Source organism: Homo sapiens, chromosome 1, assembly GCF_000001405.40.
Source record: "Homo sapiens chromosome 1, GRCh38.p14 Primary Assembly".
Lineage (NCBI taxonomy): Eukaryota > Metazoa > Chordata > Mammalia > Primates > Hominidae > Homo > Homo sapiens.
The window spans coordinates 217,628,062-217,647,754 of record NC_000001.11 but is presented as its reverse complement, the minus strand read 5'-3'; the positions used below and the strand labels follow the sequence as shown (position 1 = coordinate 217,647,754).

The window sequence follows — 19,693 nt, the reverse complement described above, 5'->3', positions numbered from 1 at the left end:
AAGACTCTGTCTCAAAATAAAAAAAAAAATTTTAAAAAGAGGCTTGACTAAAGTGAATTCTGGCATCATATTATTGTCCTCCATGTGGGAGGGAGAACAGCTTAAAGTCCTTTTCTCCAGAGAACTTTCCCTGACTTCCCAGACTACAATTAGGCCTTTCCATGTTACACTCTGATAGCTTCATAATATTTGCCACAATCATATTTAAAAATTATTTAACGATGGTCTCTTCCACTAAACTTGAAACATCGAAGGAAGTAGTCTTATCTATTTTGTCCTATACTGTATTCCCCATGGCCTCAGGAGAGATCATTGGTATTACTCCTAACACTCAACTTTGTCTTACCAAAGGTGCTACCTGAGGGAGAAACATGCCTGTTGGCATATTCCATCCCGGTGAGAAATGCCACTCACAGGCTTCCCTCACTAGATCTACTCCCAACATTGAAACCTCTCCCTACTTTAGGATGACATAGTTGCTGAGAGCCCATGAGTGCCTCTATCTTCTTAGTAACTTAACCCCTGGGTGATGATGGGAAAAAGACAGGCAGACATGAAAGGAGCTGTTGAGAGAAATAGAAGGAAATAAATACGTTTTACTAAATAAAACCTTATATGTCAGGCACTGTTTCTAATATTTCACATATCAGTGAATTAACTCATACATAATCCTTTCAATACCCCTCTGAAGAAGAGAATTATTATCCCCATTTGACAGAAGAAGATACCACTGTGGAGAAAGCATAGTCATATGCCCAAGGTCACATCTTTAGTAAGTGTCACAGCTGGCATTTAATCCTTGGTAGTCCTGCTCTAGAGGCTGGTTTTTTTGTTTGTTTGTTGGTTTGTTTGGGTTTTTTTGAAACAGAGTCTTGCTCTGTTGCCCAGGCTGGAGTGCAGTGGTGTGATCTCGGCTCACTGCAATCTCCGCCTCCCGGGTTCAAGTGATTCTTCTGCCTTAGCCTCCGAGTAGCTGGAACTACAGGTGCACGCCACCATGCCTGGTTAATTTTTGTATTTTTAGTAGAGACAGGGTTTCACCATATTGGCCAGGCTGGTCTTGAACTCCTGATCTCGTGATCCACCCACCTCGGCCTCCCAAAGTGCTGGGATTACAGTTGTGAGCCACCGTGCTCAGCTCAGAGGCTGGGTTTTTAACCATCACTGCTTCTAAAGGGGAAGAGAGTAAGAAATGAAAAGAGCAGAAGAAAGGGAAAGTAAAATGGAAGAAAAGGAAAACGCAAAAAAAATTCATGTAATCAATTTCTAAATATAATATGGAGACTTTGTGGGAAAAGGTAGCACCAATCTCCCTAAAACCATAAAATAAACTGAGAGATGAGTATTTGAAATGATACAAACATCTATAGCAACATCCCAAAATTTCAGACTATACCAAGTGTTAGTGTTAAGAATTCATATATATTGCTGCTAGGAAACAGTTTGGACTTTGAACAGATACAGAATAATTTTATTTACATAAGTAAAAACCTCACAAAACTTTAGGGATGTTCACTAAGGATGTATACACATGTAGTAGAATTATAATGAGAATGATAAAACACAAATTTCAAGACAGAAATGAAGGATGGGGGAAATGAGGAGATTAATAGTTGAAGCCAAGGCAAAAGGCCTTGGTTTTCAGAGTTTTATGCATAATATTAAGGAATTCTAGACTCCCTGATTATCAACATTTTGACCATGGAAACACATATCTCCAAAGTTTGATAATCTCTGTAAAGATTTACAGTAAAAGATACTAAATAACAACAATTATTTAAAAAAAAGGTCCAATCATAAGATACAAGTATAGTGCAGTGTCATAGAAGTTAATGGGAAGGCATCAGGATGGGAGATCATGATTAAGCAATGTTAAATACTGTGCAGAAGTCATGGAAAACAAGGTCATTATTCAACTGGTTGCAGGGTTAGAAGGAATTTTTCATTTTTCTTTTAAAATCTTATCCTGACCAGTAACAAGATGGGATAGTGGAACAAAGACACTGTCATTAATGGCCAACATGGAAAAGATACAACAACATAATGTCCAGTAGAGCAGGCAACTCAAAGAAGATAGAATGTGGAAAAAATAAGAATAATTTCATTCAATAAAGCTAATGTGCAATAAAATTCATGATAATAGAATAGAGCTGTTTCTTATGGTTATTTAAACCTTTTACCATTAATATTTAACAAACTATACCAGATTTGTTTTTCATCTTCTTAATATAGTCCATTTAAATTACTGAAAACATTTGTTTCTCCTTTCCCACCAACAATCAACTGGCTACCTTTATAAAAATGGAAGAAAAATATGAGTAAGGCACATAGACACATCTAATGCTTCTTTTGAAGTTACCATATTAGTTATTAATGTATTTGTAGGAACTCACCCTTTATTTATAATTGTCATTAGAAATGCAGAAGAGAAGCAATCAAATTAACTGTTTTGGGTTTATGTTTTTTAATCTCTCCTGCTGACACCAGTCAAGTAGAAAATTAAATAATTTCTTTTTGGGATATTATTATGTGTATATATACAAGCATATGTTATATTAATAAGAATTATACATTGCAATTAAAAGGAAGGAGGCACTAAAAATTAACTAGTAGTTAACTTACTACTAAACTTTAACTTATGTGCTAAAATTTGACTTCTATACATGTTTCTCTGTTGCCCTTTTTTTAACTGCTTAAAAACAAAATTTACAGATGCTGGGTTACCGCTGGGATGCTGAATACTCATACAATATGTCATGAACTGCTAGACATTTTATGTTTAAAATGAAAAATGTGGGTAACACTTTATTTTAATGGTATATTAATTAGTTCCAAATTACAATGAAAATCCTATAGCAGTGAATAAAATATGACATCTACATGAATTTGAAATAAATTTATTATGATCAGTATTATCACAATGAATACTAAATGAATTAATAATGATGAAAGACCAAAAGTATTACCAGTAATGTAATAAAACATCAAGAAATAACTGGAAGTTTCCAGTCACTTCATCATCAACTAGAAATAAGTACTATAACCCTGGATAACAGTATATTCATGTATATCATTAGTGGCCAGAAATGAACTGACAATAAGTAGAAAATGAAAAAAAAATGTGTAGTTAAATATCTTTCCAGTAATATGCAAAAAATATGCATTTTACACATCAACAGACTGTGCTTAGTCTGACCCATGTATATTACCTATGAATAAATACTAGATTAAAAACTCAATACTCTTTCTTTTTCATTATCATATAACTTGTAACTATTTTAGACAGTGGGAATAAAATTCCATTATTAGCTGCCCTGTGCTGTCAGATATGTTGATGTGTAAAATGATTATTGTTTTGCATATAATTTCACTACTACGTCTTAAGGATTTCATGCTCCTTAAAGGCAGAAACTATAGTATACTTAATCTATATTTTGTGTTCTGATTATCACTCATGTGCCTAATAACAGACGCTTGATGATGAGAAATAGGACTATATTTTAGAACTAGAACCTATGTTTTATATTTCATTAGTAGTCCTCAACATTATTATTATTTCACAGCTCAAGGAATAGTGGGTTGCAAATGCATTAGTATTTGATCATATAGTAGAAGTTACCATAGTTGGTCGAATGTTAAATACTGTGCAGAAGTCATGGAAAACAAAGTCATTATAATTTAGAACTAGAACCTATAATATTAGTGCATTCAAAAAGATTTTGTTTCCTAGCTGTGTGCGGTGGCTCACACCTGTAATCCCAGAACTTTGGGGGCCGAGGTGGGCAGATCACCTGAGGTCAGGAGTTCAAGACCAGCCTGGCCAACATGGTGAAACCCTGTCTCTACAAAAATACAAAAATTAGCCAGACATGATGGTGGGTGCCTGTAATCCCAGCTACTTGGGAGGCTAACGCAGGAGAATTGCTTGAACCTGGGAAGCAGAAGTTGCAGTGAGCTGAGGTCGTGCCATTGCACTCCAGCCTGGGCAACAGAGTGAGACTCCATCTAAAAAAAAAAAATTATATATATATATATATATAGAGAGAGAGAGTTTCTTTTTCTTCCTCTTCCTCCTCACTTCTCTTTACCTCATTTCCTGAACAATTAAGTCTCAAGGGCCTTGGAAATGGGCAGGAAAAGTAGGGCACTGTGCTACAAAGGGTGTGGGAGGAGGAAGTCACAGTGGCTCAGCATGAGGCGTCAGAGCCTGTGTGGGGTAAGGTGAGCATCCTCAAGTGGGGGCTGCCTGGGGTAAGATGTCATAGTCTGAGCTTAGCAAGGACAGTGTGTCCCATGGACAGAAGGCCTGGCTTTGGGGTGTAGAGGGAAGATGAAAAAAGAATCTGCACATGAAGGTAGCCAGTATAGAGAATCAGAGCCCAAGAGTGATGAGGGAAACATCCAAGTTGGTGGGGAGGCGATGGTTCAGCATGAGGAGGTAGAGCCCGCACTGGGTCTAAGAGAAGAGGCAGTTGTGGTGACAATAGTTTGGTTACATAAAGAGGATCTGATCAGATAAGTAAATATTCTAAAGATAATGGGAGCCAGGTTTCTCTCTGTCAGAAAAGGTAAGAGAAAAAAACTAGAATGAACGTATTGTGCTGAATCTGAAATAGAGTAGTCAATGTGAACTCATGAATTTTAATATATATGTTCATCAATAGGTAGAGAAATAAGTATAGATGTAAAATGTGTACAGATGTGTACAAACACATATTCCTTTGTTCTTTCCACTGAGAGGTCCAGAGAGCAGCAACATAATAGCAATGTGCATCCACTGAAAGAAACAAAGGCTCTTTGGAAAAATGGATGGTTCTAGGGGCTGGCAGGAAAAGTACAAGATAAGCCTCTGTTATTCATCCGTTTTCACACTGCTATAAAGATACTACACAAGACTGGGTAAGTAAATAAATAAACCTCCTTATCAATAAAGGACGTTTAATTGACTCACAGTTCTGCATGGCTGGGAGCCCTCAGGAAACTTACAATCATGGTGGAAGAAGAAGCACACATGTCTTACATGGCGGCAGGTGAGAAACAGCATGCAAAGCAGGAACTGTCAGACACTTATAAAACCATCAGATCTGGTGAGGACTCACTCACTTTCACAAGAACAGCACGGAGGAAACCGCCCCCATGATCCAATCACCTCCCACCAGATCAGCCCTTCAACACGTAAGGATTAGGGGGATTTCAATTCGAGATGAGATCTGGTGGGGACACAGAGCCAAACCATATCAGTCTGCAACTTTTTGTGTGTCAAGAAAAAGCAAGGAAAAAGCAAGGAAAGCATTAGAACAATGAGGACACAGAAGGAAGACTGAAGTGGCTCTCACTAGCCAAATCCGGGACAATATTAGCATGACTATAAATAAGAGTGACAGATTTTAACCCACTGAATAAAATAGGAAACTATGAGTCTATACTTATTTAAATAAATAAATAAATTTTAAGTTTGATGAGGAATAGGATACATACATAGTTTCAAATGATCTGCTTTTTAAAAATAATTATAAATTACAAAGGAAAAAAGAATATTCCAGTAGAGAAGCCTAGCAGATAACAGCTTTATCAAGTGATCTAAATGAATATTGTCAGTCATGGGACAAGTCAAAATCAGGTAGTATCTGGTAGGATGCATTGAGAAGATCACAGTATCACTTCTGTGATAGTCCTGCCTGGGGTGCATAATCTGAATCTAATCAAGGGGAAAAATCAGACAAACCTAAATTAAGGGAAATTCTAAAAAATTACTGATTTGTAATCTTCAAAAGTGTCAAGGTCATGAATATCAAAGAAAAACTGAGAAAATGTACCATATTAAAGATAACTAAAGAGACAAGACAAACAGGATCCTTTTGCTATAAAGAACGTTATTGGAGCAATTTGGCAAAGCTTGAATGGAGTCTGAAGATTAGATGGTAGAAATGTGCCAATGTTAATTTCTTGATTTTGATGGTTGAATTGTGGTTATATAGAGAATGTCCTTGTGTGTAAAGAATTTGGGGCACAATGGGACATCAGGTTGCAACTTACTCTCATATGATTCAGGAAAAAATACCCTTGTATTATACTTGTTATTTCTCTGTAAATTTGAGATTGTTTCAATAACTTAAATATATATGTGTATGTGTATGCATCTAATAATTTTTAAATTTCAGATACTGTGTTTTTAATCTCTAAACATTTATTTTGCTTCTTTTTAATGTCCCATTAACTCCTTATTATCTTCATATTTTACTTTTAAGTCCTTAAGCATATTTTAAATAGCTATTTAAAAATCCTTGTCTTGATTATTCTGTCATCTTTGTTTTCTGGATCTGTGTCTGTTGATTGATTTTTTTTCCCTCCTGATTGTGGGTCACAATTTGCTACATTTTTATAATACTACCAATTTATGAATAGATGCTAGACGCTATGAATGTTACACTATTGAGAGTTTGAATTTTGTTCAGAGATTGCCTCCAAAAGAAAGCTGGGGTAATTGTCTTGTTAATCTCATTTGCTGATCTTTCTCCTTGAGATCAAATCTTGCATTGCCTACTGTATCAATACCTAAAAATAATTGTTCATATATTTTGTTGAGTCTTCTAGTCCTTCACGGTCAGAGGACAAGTTTTGTACTAGTTAAATCTTCCACGGCCACTTATTTTCTATGTTTAATTTTGTTTTCGAAACAAAATTTTTGCCCTAGGACAAACTTTCTCCATTTATCTACTGTTTATTTCACAAATAAGTACCTGATTAACCGATGCTCAATATAAAATGTTAAATAATACAGAAAAACATAGAGAAAAAAGATTCTATTTCAACCTCACTTTCTTTCAATTTTTAAAATTTAACCACTTATTATGTGTAATTCCAGATCTATCTAATTCCAGTTTTGTATCTCTATGTATTTTTACATTTGTTTTACATAAAAAACACTAAATGTATTATATATTTTCTATAATCTGGGCTTTTCTTATACCTTATTTTGTCTCAGAGATTTTGTTCATGTCATTATGTATAAAATGTTTCACTCTTTTAAACTGCTATTTATTTTCCCTCATATGCTTGTCTTTATTTAGCCATAGTAGTTGCAAATAGATACAAGTTATTTACAGTTTTTATTTTTATTTTTTCCCTATTAGGAATAATACTTTAATGAACGCCCTTGTACATAATCCTGTATATAAAATACTCTTACACACAACTTATGTACACATAAGAGCATTTTTATGAGGCCAATAGAAAAAGTGACAGTTCTGAGTCAAATGACATGCATTTTGATGCTATTAAAAATGGTATTGCCAAAGTCTTAAATTATAATTGTCCATTGCTGTTATGTAAAGACTACTGTATACTGCCCTTGCATCCTGCGAACTTGTTAAGTTCATTTATTACTTCTAAATCCTTTTTTGTATGTGGTATAGAGTTTTTTACACATATAATTATGCTGTCAGTAAATAAAGACAATTTTACTTCTTCCTTTGCAATTTTTATGCCTTTGATTTGCTTATCATTCAACATTTAAAACTAGTAAGAAAAGGATGGACTATTTAATAACTGCTGTTGAGACAACTGTATTCTATAGAAAAAGTTAGGCCTCTATCTCACACAATACATGCACATAAACACAACTGCACATAGACTGAAGGAAAAATATAACAAAACTTTTTAAATATTATAAATAAATTATAAATAATTATAAATATTATAAATAAATATAATCTTAGGTTGGGAAAGACTGTTCCAAGAACAACTCAGATTGCTAAAGTCAGATGAATAAATTTACTAATTTGACTATAAAAGCTTAAAATAAAACTGATAGAATGGTTGATGGCCACGGCAAAAACCTGAAACATTATGGTATTGGCTTTGGGACTGGGGGATGCGTGAGAAGGTGAGGAAGATGCACATGTCATTGAGAGACCATACATGTGGGTCAGAAGAGTGGTGAAAAAATTGATATTAGAAGCTGGAAAAAGAACCTCTATTATGTGAGAGTGGGACAATTATTATAGCAAGACTATTGCCTATGATCACTTGGAAGACTGAAAATGTACAGTGAACTTTTGAACTTGCCTAAGGAGATATCTAGAAAGGACATTAAAGTACCAATCGCATTCTTCCAGCTTAATTTGTTTTACTTCTTCTAGATTAATTTGTCTTAATTAAATATAAGGTAAATCACAGTAACATAATGCTTATTTAATTTTTAATTAAATGAAAATTATTGTAGAATTGCTCATTGTTGTCTCTATTATTTCTTTTGCTCTTCTTCCTCTATCTTGAGATCTTTGTTCCAATTTAATTTTTACTTGATTACGGCAAGTACTTTCTTGAGTACATTTCGTCAGGTAGGGTACATAGATGACATAACTAGGAGTCTTTACATGTCTGAAAATGTCTTTCTTTCATCCCAATCCCCAAATGAATCTTTGATAGAATTCTTATCTGTGGTCTTGAATCATTAGTAATTATTGTTTTTGTGTCTTTTGGGTTCCTGTGTTGAGCAGAAAGGGCATTCATTTCCTTGGCAAATAACTATTTTTATTTTCTGTCCAGAATAGAATCTTATGAGATTATTTTTCCTGTATTCTTGGAAGTTCACCAGATAATATCTAAGAAGTAGGTGTTAAAGGAAATTCTATATAGGACTCAGATAATCCTTTCTATTCTAAGCCATACTCTTTCTTCAGTTTAGAAGTTTTCTTCTAGGGTATTTCTTTATTATTATTCTATCTCTTCCCCACTCCCAGTCAGAATTCTGCAGTAACTATTATTCACATAACAAGTCCTCTGGGTATGTCCTCCATATTATTAATCTTATTACTCATGATTTCTATTCACATGTGTTTATGGATATTTCCTTTATTTGCCTTCCTAACATATTTATATTTCAGTAGTGACTATTCTAGTTTTTAATTCATCTATTACATTTTTAAATGGAAAATTATTATTTTTAAAAATTGGTTACAGTATTTTTTTCCTCTAGTTTTATTTCTGTAAAAGTTCACATTACATTTTTATTGAAGTTTGTATCTATTTCATCCATTAGTTCTAACTCCATAGTAGCCATCTGTTCTGGTTTCTTAGCTTAATCTCCTTCCTCCAAACTAACATTTCCTTAAATGTCTTGTGAAGTTTATCTGCCTATTTAATAGATATTCAGTTGTTTGATACATATACAGGGCTTTCTGCTCAGGTTACTTGGGCAGTGATAAACTGATAAGACAGTAAAAGGTACTTTCAATTTTCTTTTTCCCCATCAATGAGCCAGCAGTGAACATGTTGGCAAATAGGGATCTGTCTTTCAGGGCATGGTAAATAGACAGAATTATTGTGCAGTTTTGTTTTGCTTTTGAATTAAATGGAACCATCTCTATTGTATTCCAGCAGCACATCTAATGTTGGCTGTTGGTTTTAGAAACATATTCTTTATTATTAAAACACTTATTTCTTTCATAAACATATTTTAAAACAAACACTGCAGAACTTTATCTGACTGAAGTTTGGACAGGTATATACCTATGGAAAATTACTGAGTTGTACACTTCACACAGTTTATATACTTAATGTATATAATACAGCAATAAAAATTTTTACGTTTTTAATGAAAAAAGAAAAATATTTAGGAATAGCCAAAAAATTTTTCAATTACCTTTTCGATATTCACTGAGTCGATCATATGTATTTTATACTTTACCCTTCTGTTGTGATTTCCTATTATAATTATGAATTTATTGGGTACTTACTAATATACCAGATGATCATTTAATCTTCTTAGTTAACATATCAATAGGCATTATTATCCCTGTTACAGATGAGAAAACTAATATCTAAAGAGTTTAAGTAAGGTAAGAATATAAGTTTAAAAGTTTACATTTAAGCCTAAAGTAATACAGAGTTAGGATTTGAACTGTTGCACTTTGGCAAAAATCTTCCTTGTGTATTTGGAAGAAGTTTTGCTAAGTTTTATTGGTCAGAATTGAGTACACCTGTAAGAAAAAATTCAGTAATTAATTAGAATCAGGGGAAGGGACTCACATCTATTCAACTAAGCTGCTATTTATTTAGGCTAATAGGACTAAGAGAATTTTTCAAATTCAAGGACACTGAACAAAATTATTAGACTAAGGATACAGGAGGAACTACAGTCAATTTACTATGTCAGAGTCAGAAACAAATTTATTCCGTTTATAGGAATAATAGATCCTGAAATCAGGACAACTTAAGGAACATTATACCTCAGGTTGCTACAGGGTAATGAAGTACGTGCAAATCACCAATCTTGAACCATAGAGTAATGTACCCCTGCTTTCTTTTTCTCAACCTGATCTTAGAAAGGCAGGTTAGGGCTTATGTATTTGATGAACTTAATTCCCGGCAGAAACTTAATAATTTAAAGATCCCCCTCTCCCAGGTATAAATGTGGACTGAAACGGATCAAACGTCACTAGATCTTTGATCTTCTTTATATTTGGCAAGTAATATAGATGGTCTGAAACTCACATTCCTTCGTTGTAACCCAGGAATAAGAAAAATAACCTTATAAGATTATTGTAAACATCAAATAAAATAATGTTTGTGAAAGCAGTGCTCAGCATGTAGTAGATATTCAATAACATTTATTTCTCTATTTCTTTTTCTCTATCCCCATGCACTCCTCAAGCCCCCTTTCAGATAGTAAGAGATGTGGACATTTGACAGTTGGTCTATATAGCATGTCTCTAGAGAACTTCTTGCCCTCTTCCTCAGCCACTGGTTTCTCTGTATTCTCCAATATACTTTTCCCTTCAGCGAAGCCAATTAAAAAAGATTTTACATATATCTGGCTGATTTCTTCTTACATATTGTTAAAAAACTTATGTGTTTTAAAAATTTTTAAGTGTTATTTACTTGTTTCATTGACACAAGCAGATTTGATTTAAATTTTGTTCAGCAAAAACTGGCACCAAAAAGTTAAAAGATGGAAGTGGAGGAAGAAAGTAGAAATGGGAAAAATAAAAGCAAAATGCTTTATCCAACTTAAAAACAAGTCAAAGGGGCTGGGCCCAGTGGCTCACGCCTGTAATCCCAGCACTTTGGGAGGCCGAGGTGGGCAGATGGCTTGAGCCCAGGAGTTCAAGACCAGCCTGACCAACATAGCGAAAACTCGTCTTCACTAAAAATGCAAAAAAGAAAAAAAAATTAGCTGGGTGTGGTGGCAGGTGCCTGTAATCCCAGCTACTCAGGAGTCTGAAGCAGGAGAATCTGCTGAACCTGGGAGGCAGAGGTGCAGTGACCTGAGATCACGCCACTGCACTCCAGCCTGGGCAACAGAGCGAGACTCCCTCTCAAAATGATAATAATAATAATAAGTCAATAATAATAATAATAATTTTGTTCAGTGTCCTTGAATTTGGATAATCCTCTTAGTCCTAACCACTTAGGAATATATTTTCTCAACAAAGTCATCTTTCAACTTCAGCATTATTCTGATGCTAGCCATTAGGAAGAAGCATTTCTGTCCCTACCTTGTTACCAAAACTGAAGACATTGAAAGTCAAAGGTTACTTTTTTATTTATTGTTTTTATAGACAGAAGTCACATCATGTCACTCCTCTGCTGAAAACACCCTTTTTTTTTTTTTTTTTTTGAGACGGAGTCTCATTCTGTCGCCAGGCTGGAGTGCATTGGCACGATCTCGGCTCACTGCAACCTCCACCTCTAGGGTTCAAGTGATTCTCCTGCCTCAGCCTCCCGATTAGCTGGGATTAAAGGCGCCCACCACCCCATGCAGCTAATTTTTGTATTTTTAGTAGAGACGGGGTTTCTCCATGTTGGCCAGGCTGGTCTCGAATTCCTGACCTCGTGATCTGCTCGCCTTGGCCTCCCGAAGTGCTGGGATTACAAGCCTGAGCCACTGCTCCCGGCGTCAGTCCACTCTTTTTAAGGCTTGCAACTTGGAGGCTTCATCTGCATGATAAAATGATAAAAACCAGGTCTCCCCAATCCCGTTATCATAACCCAGACATTCCTCATTTCTTTCTACTGATAATAACTCACTCAACCACTTGCCAATCAGAATTTGAGTCTTGCTCTGTTGCCCAGGCTGGAGTGCAATGGTCCGACCTTGGCTCACTTCAACCTCTGCCTCCTGGGTTCAAGTGATTCTCCTGCCTCAGCCTCTCGAGTAGTTGGGACTACAGGTGCGCACCACCACCCCTGGCTAATTTTTGTATTTTTAGTAGCGACAGGGTTTTGCCATGTTGGACAGGCTGGTCTGGAACTCCTGACCTCAAGTGATCCACCCACCTCAGCCTCCCAAAGTGCTGGGATTATAGGCGTGAGCCACCATGCCTGGCCAGAAAATTTTTAAATCTACCTAAGACCTAAAGGGCCCCCACCTTGTGGAACTAATATAAACCTTACCTGTATTGATGGATGTATTATGTCTCCATAATACATATGTATAAAAGCAAGCTGTACCTGGACTGCCTTGGGCACATGACATCAGGGCTTCCTAAGGCTGTGTCATGGGTGCATCCTTAACCTTGGCAAAATAAACTTTCTAAATTGACTGAAGCCTGTCTCAGATATTTTGGGTTCACCCACACTATAGAAACACAGTGGAAGAGGAACATTCTAACTTATTCCTATTAGAATTTGACAGATTTGATGAAATTTAAATAAGAATATGGGGAAAATGAACAACATGATCAATAAACATATACTGAACTCTTTTCTCCACAAAGTACAGTGTAGTGTATAGTATAAATGACCAATAAGTCACAAAGAAAATCTCATAGTTTGGAAGAACAGAAATGAAGCTAGGAATTACTAGAGAAAGTTAACAACAACAACAACAACAACAACAACAACAACAACAAAAAGGCCAATACTCTGTCAAGTGACAATGGAACTGCCACTGGAAAACTGTAACTGAGACAGTGAAAGAGATCTGACCTAACCAACTCCATCTTGCTTCTAACCTTCAAGCTGTCCTCGTTCATTCCTGACATAGGCTGAACTAACTTTGCCAGGAACTTAGTTTATAGTTTAAAACAAAGATGATAATAGGCCTTTCCCAAGGCAAACCCCCTTCTTGCCTGGGGACTAGACTGCCTTTGTTGGAATAACAAATTAGTTAAAAGATTAGAAATTATGGTTTGGGAGTCACGCAGCTGGAGGCTATAAGATTCTGACCCTCCCTAAATGGCTCCTGGGGATAATATCAGTATTGTAAAACCTAAGATCAGTGCTAGAGATATTTTGCAGATGCTGCACTTGATGGATCAGCTGGCACCACCCAGATTGATAAACTGGCTCTGACCTTGTGGCCCCCACCCCAGAATTGACTCAGTGCAAGAAGACAGGTTCCACCCTCTATGATTTCATCTCTGACCCAACCAATCAGCCCTCCTGACTCACTGGCCTCACACTAACCCATCAAATCATACTTAAAAACTCTGATCCCCTAATGCTCAGGGAGACAGATTTCAGTAACAATAAAACTCTGGTCTCCCACACAACCGGGTCTGTGTGAATTATTCTTTCTTTATTGCAATTGCCGTCTTGATAAATTGGCTCTGTCTAGGCAACAGGCAAGGTGAACCCACTGGGAAGTTACAACAACTGCCTACTATCTTTTGTTCACCTTATGTCCAGGACAAAATTTTCAGTCTCTTTGATGGGCTGGCCAAAACATAAACACACACCAAACATTCCCTGTGGGAGCAACTTTCCAGAGTATTATGTCAGTCGGGCAACCCACACTCCTCCTATTCTTTGTAGTTCAAAATCTCCTCCTGTATTTGCTGCTCACTTCTTGGAGTTCCAGATCCTTCCTCTTTGTTAGGCAGAGGAGCTTCTCGTTTCCACATTGGACTTCCAGGCCTCACAGGACTCAGATACTAACCTAAACACTTAGGAATGTATTTTCTCAACCAAGTCATCTTTCAGCTTCAGCGTTATTCTGATGCTAGCCATTAGGAAGAAGCCTTTTTGTCCGTACCTTGTTACGAAAACAGAAGACATTGAAAGAAACCAAGGAGACTTTAAATTGTTTCCCACAACTCTGTTCCCTACATGTTAACGGATTTGGGACAGTACACTCAAGCCATTTGGACCTCTGGATCTTGGTGCTTGTTGCAATTTAATTAAATCAGCTTAATGGGAAGAAAATTTTGTTTAGTGACAGTGAACAGCGGAGGTTTTAGAGTTAGATTAGTTGGCTCTGATAATTCATAATTGACCTCAAGACATCCGCCTGCCCTGGCCTCCCAACGTGCTGGGATTACAGGCCTGAGCCACTGTGCCTGGCCAATTAATTGTTTGTTTGGCACTTCATCAGGCTTTTCTAGAACATTGTTCTATAGCTCTAAAAATATAGATTATCTAATAAATAGATAATTTCTACATTAACTTATAACATTGTGATAACCAAGTGAAATATCATATGTAGTTGTTCCTGGTGCAATCCCTCATATATAATCAGTCCTCAAAAAATACTGGTTGTTTCCCTTTCTGTCCATGTTACTCTATTGTTGTTATTATTTATTTATTTATTTATTTATTTATTTATTTATTTGAGACAGAGTCTTGCTCTGTCGCCCAGGCTGGAGTGCAGTATTGCGATCTCGGCTCACTACAACCTCTGCCTCCTGGGTTCAACTGATTCTCTTGCCTCAGCTTCCAGAGTAGCTGGGACTACAGGCGTGCACCACCATGCCTGGCTGATTTTTGTAATTTTAGGAGAGACAGGGTTTTGCCATGTTGGCCAGTCTGGTCTGGAACTTCTGCCCTCAAGTGATCCATCTGCCTCTGCCTCCCAAAGTGCTGGGATTACAGGCATGAGCCACTGAGCCCAGCTAGTATTGTAATTATTTTTTAAAAGCCTATATTCCATACAAGGATGTGAACATCATGATGGATGGGGCTTATTTCATTTATATATGTCATAAATACAGCACCTGCCACATACTCTAAATAAATAGATAATTTCTATGTTTAGCTATTGTTAGTATGTTTACTTAAACCAGGGCTACAGATTTATTGAAAAATTCATTAATGTGAGTCTTCAACAATTATTGTGTTACTATTATTTGTATGGGGCTATCATAGACGTTGGAGACAAAAATAATGGTGAGCAAAATAAGAGACACTGTCTCTGCTACTAGTTTAAGAGGGGAGATAGATATTATCTCATAAAAGAATGTAAAATTGAATTGTGATCAGTGCTGTAAGAGAGGTACGTTGTGAAATAATGATGTAGTAGGTGAGATAAACGTTAGAATAAAAGCAGCTCAGCAAGACCCTATCTCATTGACATATTTTCCATTGGTCTGTCATGTCACTGTATTCCATAATAGTCTAATTCACTTTTTTGCAGTTTCTTTTAAGTTACAAAAACTCCTGGGGCAATGCTTCTTTAAAATGAAACTCTTCCTGGGCAAGAAGTTTGGCTGTAGGGAGATGAAGAAGACTGCTAGTGGTTTTCTTACCCGTTATCTATTAATTAATATATTGGTACTAGTTACCGTGTCAGAATGGTTTAGACACTTTCATTTTATTTTATTTTATTTATATTTATTTATTTATTTATTGAGACAGGGTCTTAATTTGTCACCCAGGCTGGAGTGCAGTGGTACAATGTCGGGTCACTGCAACCTCTGCCTCCCAGGTTCAAGCGATTCTCCTGCCTCAGCCTCCGGACTAGCTGGGATGACAGGCATGTGCCACCATGCCCGGCTAGTTTTTGTATTTTTAATAGAGACGGGGTTTCACCATGTTGTCCTGGTTGGTCTAGAACTCCTGGCCTCAGGTGATTCGCCCCCCTCGGCCTCCCAAAGTGCTGGGATTACAGGCGTGAGCCACCACACCCGGCAGATACGTTCATTTTAAAAAGGCGAATGAGTCATAGAACAATTGAGTTTAGTGATGTTTGTAAAATAACGGAGGCTCAAATCCCTAGGTAGATGGGACACAATCTGAGTTCATTGGGCTAGTGAGTCAGGGTGACCCCCAGTCAGGGTATTGAACATAGGTTTCATCAAATTGCAGAGTGGTGATGTCGAAGAAAAAAAGCACTTTACAATTTTATCTATGCTGGGAGTTTCCTTAAATCATCTCACACTGAATATCTACGGCCCCTCTCTATTTAGAATTTCGTTGTATGGTAACAGAAACTCCCAATTATGTTTGCAGCCCATTAAGGGAAGAATTGGGTACTACTTAATGAATTAGGGTAATCGTTAAATCGTTAATTGGAAACTCCCGCTGAGGAACAACTGGTATAAAGTCACGCCCGCCCTTTACGCGATCCTTCTCTTCCTGACTTACCTGTTCCTAAAGTAGTACTGATTTCCTACAGTCGACGACCTAGCTTGCAGCCGGGCTAACGTGGCCATGGTCTCTTGGCCTTGGGTTTACAACTGGTGTTACTACCGGTCTCCATGGTAACTGGGCTAAACCATAGCTCACTCCCGGGGTTCGACTTTTTGTTCACTCCTCTTTTCTCTCATGCTGCTTTGACTTTAAGAGCACTAAAAAGAGAATTAAGAAATTTCTGTGTAGCACAAAAGTTTAATTTATTTGTCTCTGTCTCTACTGCGAGTAGGAAGAGGGGATTATAGGAAGGGGAAAGCAGTAAACGCGGAGAACTAATGGTTGCTCCGGGCATCCGGTTTCCGCCGCCTGTCGGCTTCCGGAAGCTCATCTCAAAATGCTGAACTGCTCTTTGGAAGTCGCCGGTGCTGTTGTAGTTGGAGTCTGTTCACGGGCCTGAGCTTCGAGGCCAGGCTCCCGGGTGTCGTTAATGTTCGGGGCCGCCGGGCGCCAACCGATCGGAGCTCCAGCAGCCGGGAACAGCTGGTGAGGCTGGCGGCCCTGGGGAGGGGGAGGTCAGGGAAGGGTGTGATTGCCCGAGGCCGCTCCGCTGGACCTGGAATGGAGGCGGGAGGGAGCTGTGATGGATGATCTGAAGACATCTAGGCCTTGCTCTCACTCATTCCTGGGATGCACGCAGTTTGAGGGAGCTCTTGGGTGTGTGCCAAAGATTTGTGAAAGAATACAGTAAATGTTTTCTGATTGCTTGTTTAACAATATTTTAGAAGTCAAGCTTCCTGTACTCCAGGAGCAATTCATCTCCTCATTGATTGTTGACAACACTAGGGACAGGAAGAATTTATCTTAATCCGGGCCTTATTCCCCACTCCTCTTTCAATATTTACCAGATTATACCAAGTCTTTTGGAAGATAAATTCCAGAAATCTAGAGTTCTGGAAGTTCAATCGTGGAAAACACATCACCCTCTCACCCCCTTTTTTAAAGAGAGAGGGTAACCTACCTGTTTCCACCCTCTTGAACATTCTATTCAAGTTAAAGTGAGATATGTATGGGGGCTTTCCAAGAACCTATAACTGTCAGGATTAAGTTTGGGGCTTGACTATGTCTATGGTATCATGTTAGAATAATATATTGCTTTGACTTTTCAAAGTATTTCCACAAATTAATACACTTTATCCTATGACAGCCTTGTGATAGCAGAATATCACAAGCACAGAAAATTCAAGTACCGTGTCCAAAGTTGCCCTGTACATTTTAATCCTAGAGCTAGAATCCTGATTTGGGGATTTCTAGTTGAACACTCTGTATTATCTGTCCTGTTTTTCTCCCAAGCCCTTTTCCTCCAAACATAACATAAGACAACCAGTGACACAAACAAGCAATTTCCCATTGAAAATCCTCAAACATAAAGTTCTGACCAACAGGTGAAAGAAATGTGGCTAAATGGTGCGTGTTCATTCCTAGATTCTGCAAAAATTAGAACATGAGGAATTCTAGTAGTCTGTGATCTCAGATAATTGCTTTTCCATCACCTATCACTGAAAAGTTAAAAGAATACCTTATCCAAAATATTTCTAGTTGGACCTGATCATCCTGTAGTTAATTTTATAGTGAATATAGATTTGATTATACTATTTGTAAATTATTACATTTTCCAGTGAGAAAAGTAGGGAGCATTTTTTAAATGAACCAGTTTTTAATGGTATAACTAGCATAGAATGAAATGCACAATTTTTACAGGCTTAATTTTATTAGTTTTGGCAATTGCATATACTTATGTAAACACCACACAAAACAAGATAATGGATTTGTCCATCACCCCACAGTTCCCTCTCAAGGATACCTGTCTTAATGTTTCACTGTTCATTATCTTGGTTAAGTCAGGGAGACAAAATGTCCTATGTAGATTGGTCTGCTCTTCCTAGGGTGCTATTGATTTGTAGGGTAGGTGACTACATCAGAATGTGATTGATTCTCTCAACTTCTTTTACCTTTAAAATCATGGTTAGGTACTGAGAGAAACCTCCTTCAATTCTCTTTAAAGGCTCGCTTGTCATACAACTCACCATTTCTTATGGCACCAGAGTATAACAAAGTGGTAGCACTTAGTATTTTTGAATGAAATTCTAAAGTCATTCCTGTTCTGTCAGAATGAATATGTTCCAGAAAACTGGATCTTTATTTTCTAGTCTATCTGTATGACTATCTGTATGACTATCTGGAATGTAAAAATTCCAGATTTCTTAATGGAATTTTCTTCTTCATTAATTGAACAGATATTTACTATATAAGTATGTTTGATCCCAGTAATAAATTCCAGTCCCACTGGGAATACTGCTACTAAGCAGTTAATTAGGTGCCAGGTTTTACAAATATGTGTCATCTCATGTAAATCTTTTGAGGTAGGTGTATCATTCTTTGCATTTTAGATAAGGTGACACAGAAGCAAAGATGGTTTAAGTAACTGGCCTAAGTATCATATTTGCAGGATGATTCCAGTATACCCCCCCAAAATTCTTAACCACTTTTATATGTTGCCTATGTGTCTGAATGAGATATAATATCTCAAGGAATATGTAACCTAGCAGTTAGATGCCCAAATTTGTTAACCAGTCTGGATTTTCTGACTTATTTAGCTCCCATCTTGACTTTTTCAACTTCTCCAGTGTGGACGTTGCTGTTTCAATTTTTAGGCACCAAATGGGTAAATGTGGATAATTTCTGTATTCAACTATGGTATTCTTTTTTTTTTTTTTTTAACTTTATTATGTGGCTTTGCTTAAAAAAAAGCCATTAAAATAAACTATATTGACTCTGGACTTTTGTTTCTGCATTTTCATTCCTATTAGGTATTTTGATTTTATTGAAATCCAGAAAACTGCATAGTAAATGGTGTGCATTTTTTTGAATTGCTTGTTTTTTGGAGTTTGTTAGTCTTGAACTTAGTTGCATACTGGCAGGTTTGAGTCAGGTTTTTGTTTCAACAATTAAGAATCAAAGCAATAAACAGTATGATTTTGTTCAAGTAATTCATTAAATTTGTTATAGCTTCTTAGCATCCATATTTATGTCAAGCTGGAAGCCTTTACGTTGTCTTTGATAATTTTTCCTTAACTTCACATTTACTTAGCTAAAAGCCTAGAGTGTCTGGCTTGTTAATGTAGCAGAAAATTTGGAATATGGATTGTCTAAAAGTTTTAGTCATTATGTTTTTCTTTTGTTTTTTGTTCAGTCATTTAGTCATTCATTGGTTTGCTCATCTGGCAGATTATTTTTTAAAATCTGTTATGTGTCAAGCAGTATGCTTCTAATTAATATTCAGTTGTCTTCATTCTCATTCCTGTTATAGGAATTCAGGTTATATGTTCAGTAAATTTTT

General features: G+C 36.7%; 2 protein-coding genes across 13 annotated transcripts in view, besides 2 other annotated features; one reads left to right on the top strand and one right to left on the bottom strand.

Annotated features, from left to right (window-relative positions):
* The window catches only part of SPATA17 (spermatogenesis associated 17), a 240,353-nt gene extending 223,942 nt beyond the window's left edge, over positions 1-16,411 (bottom strand). For all 3 annotated transcript variants that reach the window (NM_001375655.1, NM_138796.4, XM_011509194.4), the window contains exon 1: positions 16,309-16,411. In NM_001375655.1, the coding sequence (NP_001362584.1) occupies positions 16,309-16,376 (68 nt within the window). In that variant the 5' untranslated portion in view covers positions 16,377-16,411. The remainder of the gene's footprint in view (positions 1-16,308) is intronic.
* Positions 16,387-16,626: an enhancer, noted in NCBI's record as "active region_2538". NCBI's record gives its function as "activates an Ori minimal core promoter by ATAC-STARR-seq in GM12878 lymphoblastoid cells {active_cell/tissue: GM12878}" and the evidence as "EXISTENCE:reporter gene assay evidence [ECO:0000049][PMID:35858748]".
* Positions 16,657-16,726: an enhancer, noted in NCBI's record as "active region_2537". NCBI's record gives its function as "activates an Ori minimal core promoter by ATAC-STARR-seq in GM12878 lymphoblastoid cells {active_cell/tissue: GM12878}" and the evidence as "EXISTENCE:reporter gene assay evidence [ECO:0000049][PMID:35858748]".
* GPATCH2 (G-patch domain containing 2) overlaps positions 16,665-19,693 on the top strand; it is a 204,099-nt gene continuing 201,070 nt past the window's right edge. For all 10 annotated transcript variants that reach the window (XM_017001592.3, XM_011509690.4, NM_018040.5 and 7 more), the window contains exon 1: positions 16,665-16,839. In XM_017001592.3, the coding sequence (XP_016857081.1) occupies positions 16,784-16,839 (56 nt within the window). In that variant the 5' untranslated portion in view covers positions 16,665-16,783. The remainder of the gene's footprint in view (positions 16,840-19,693) is intronic.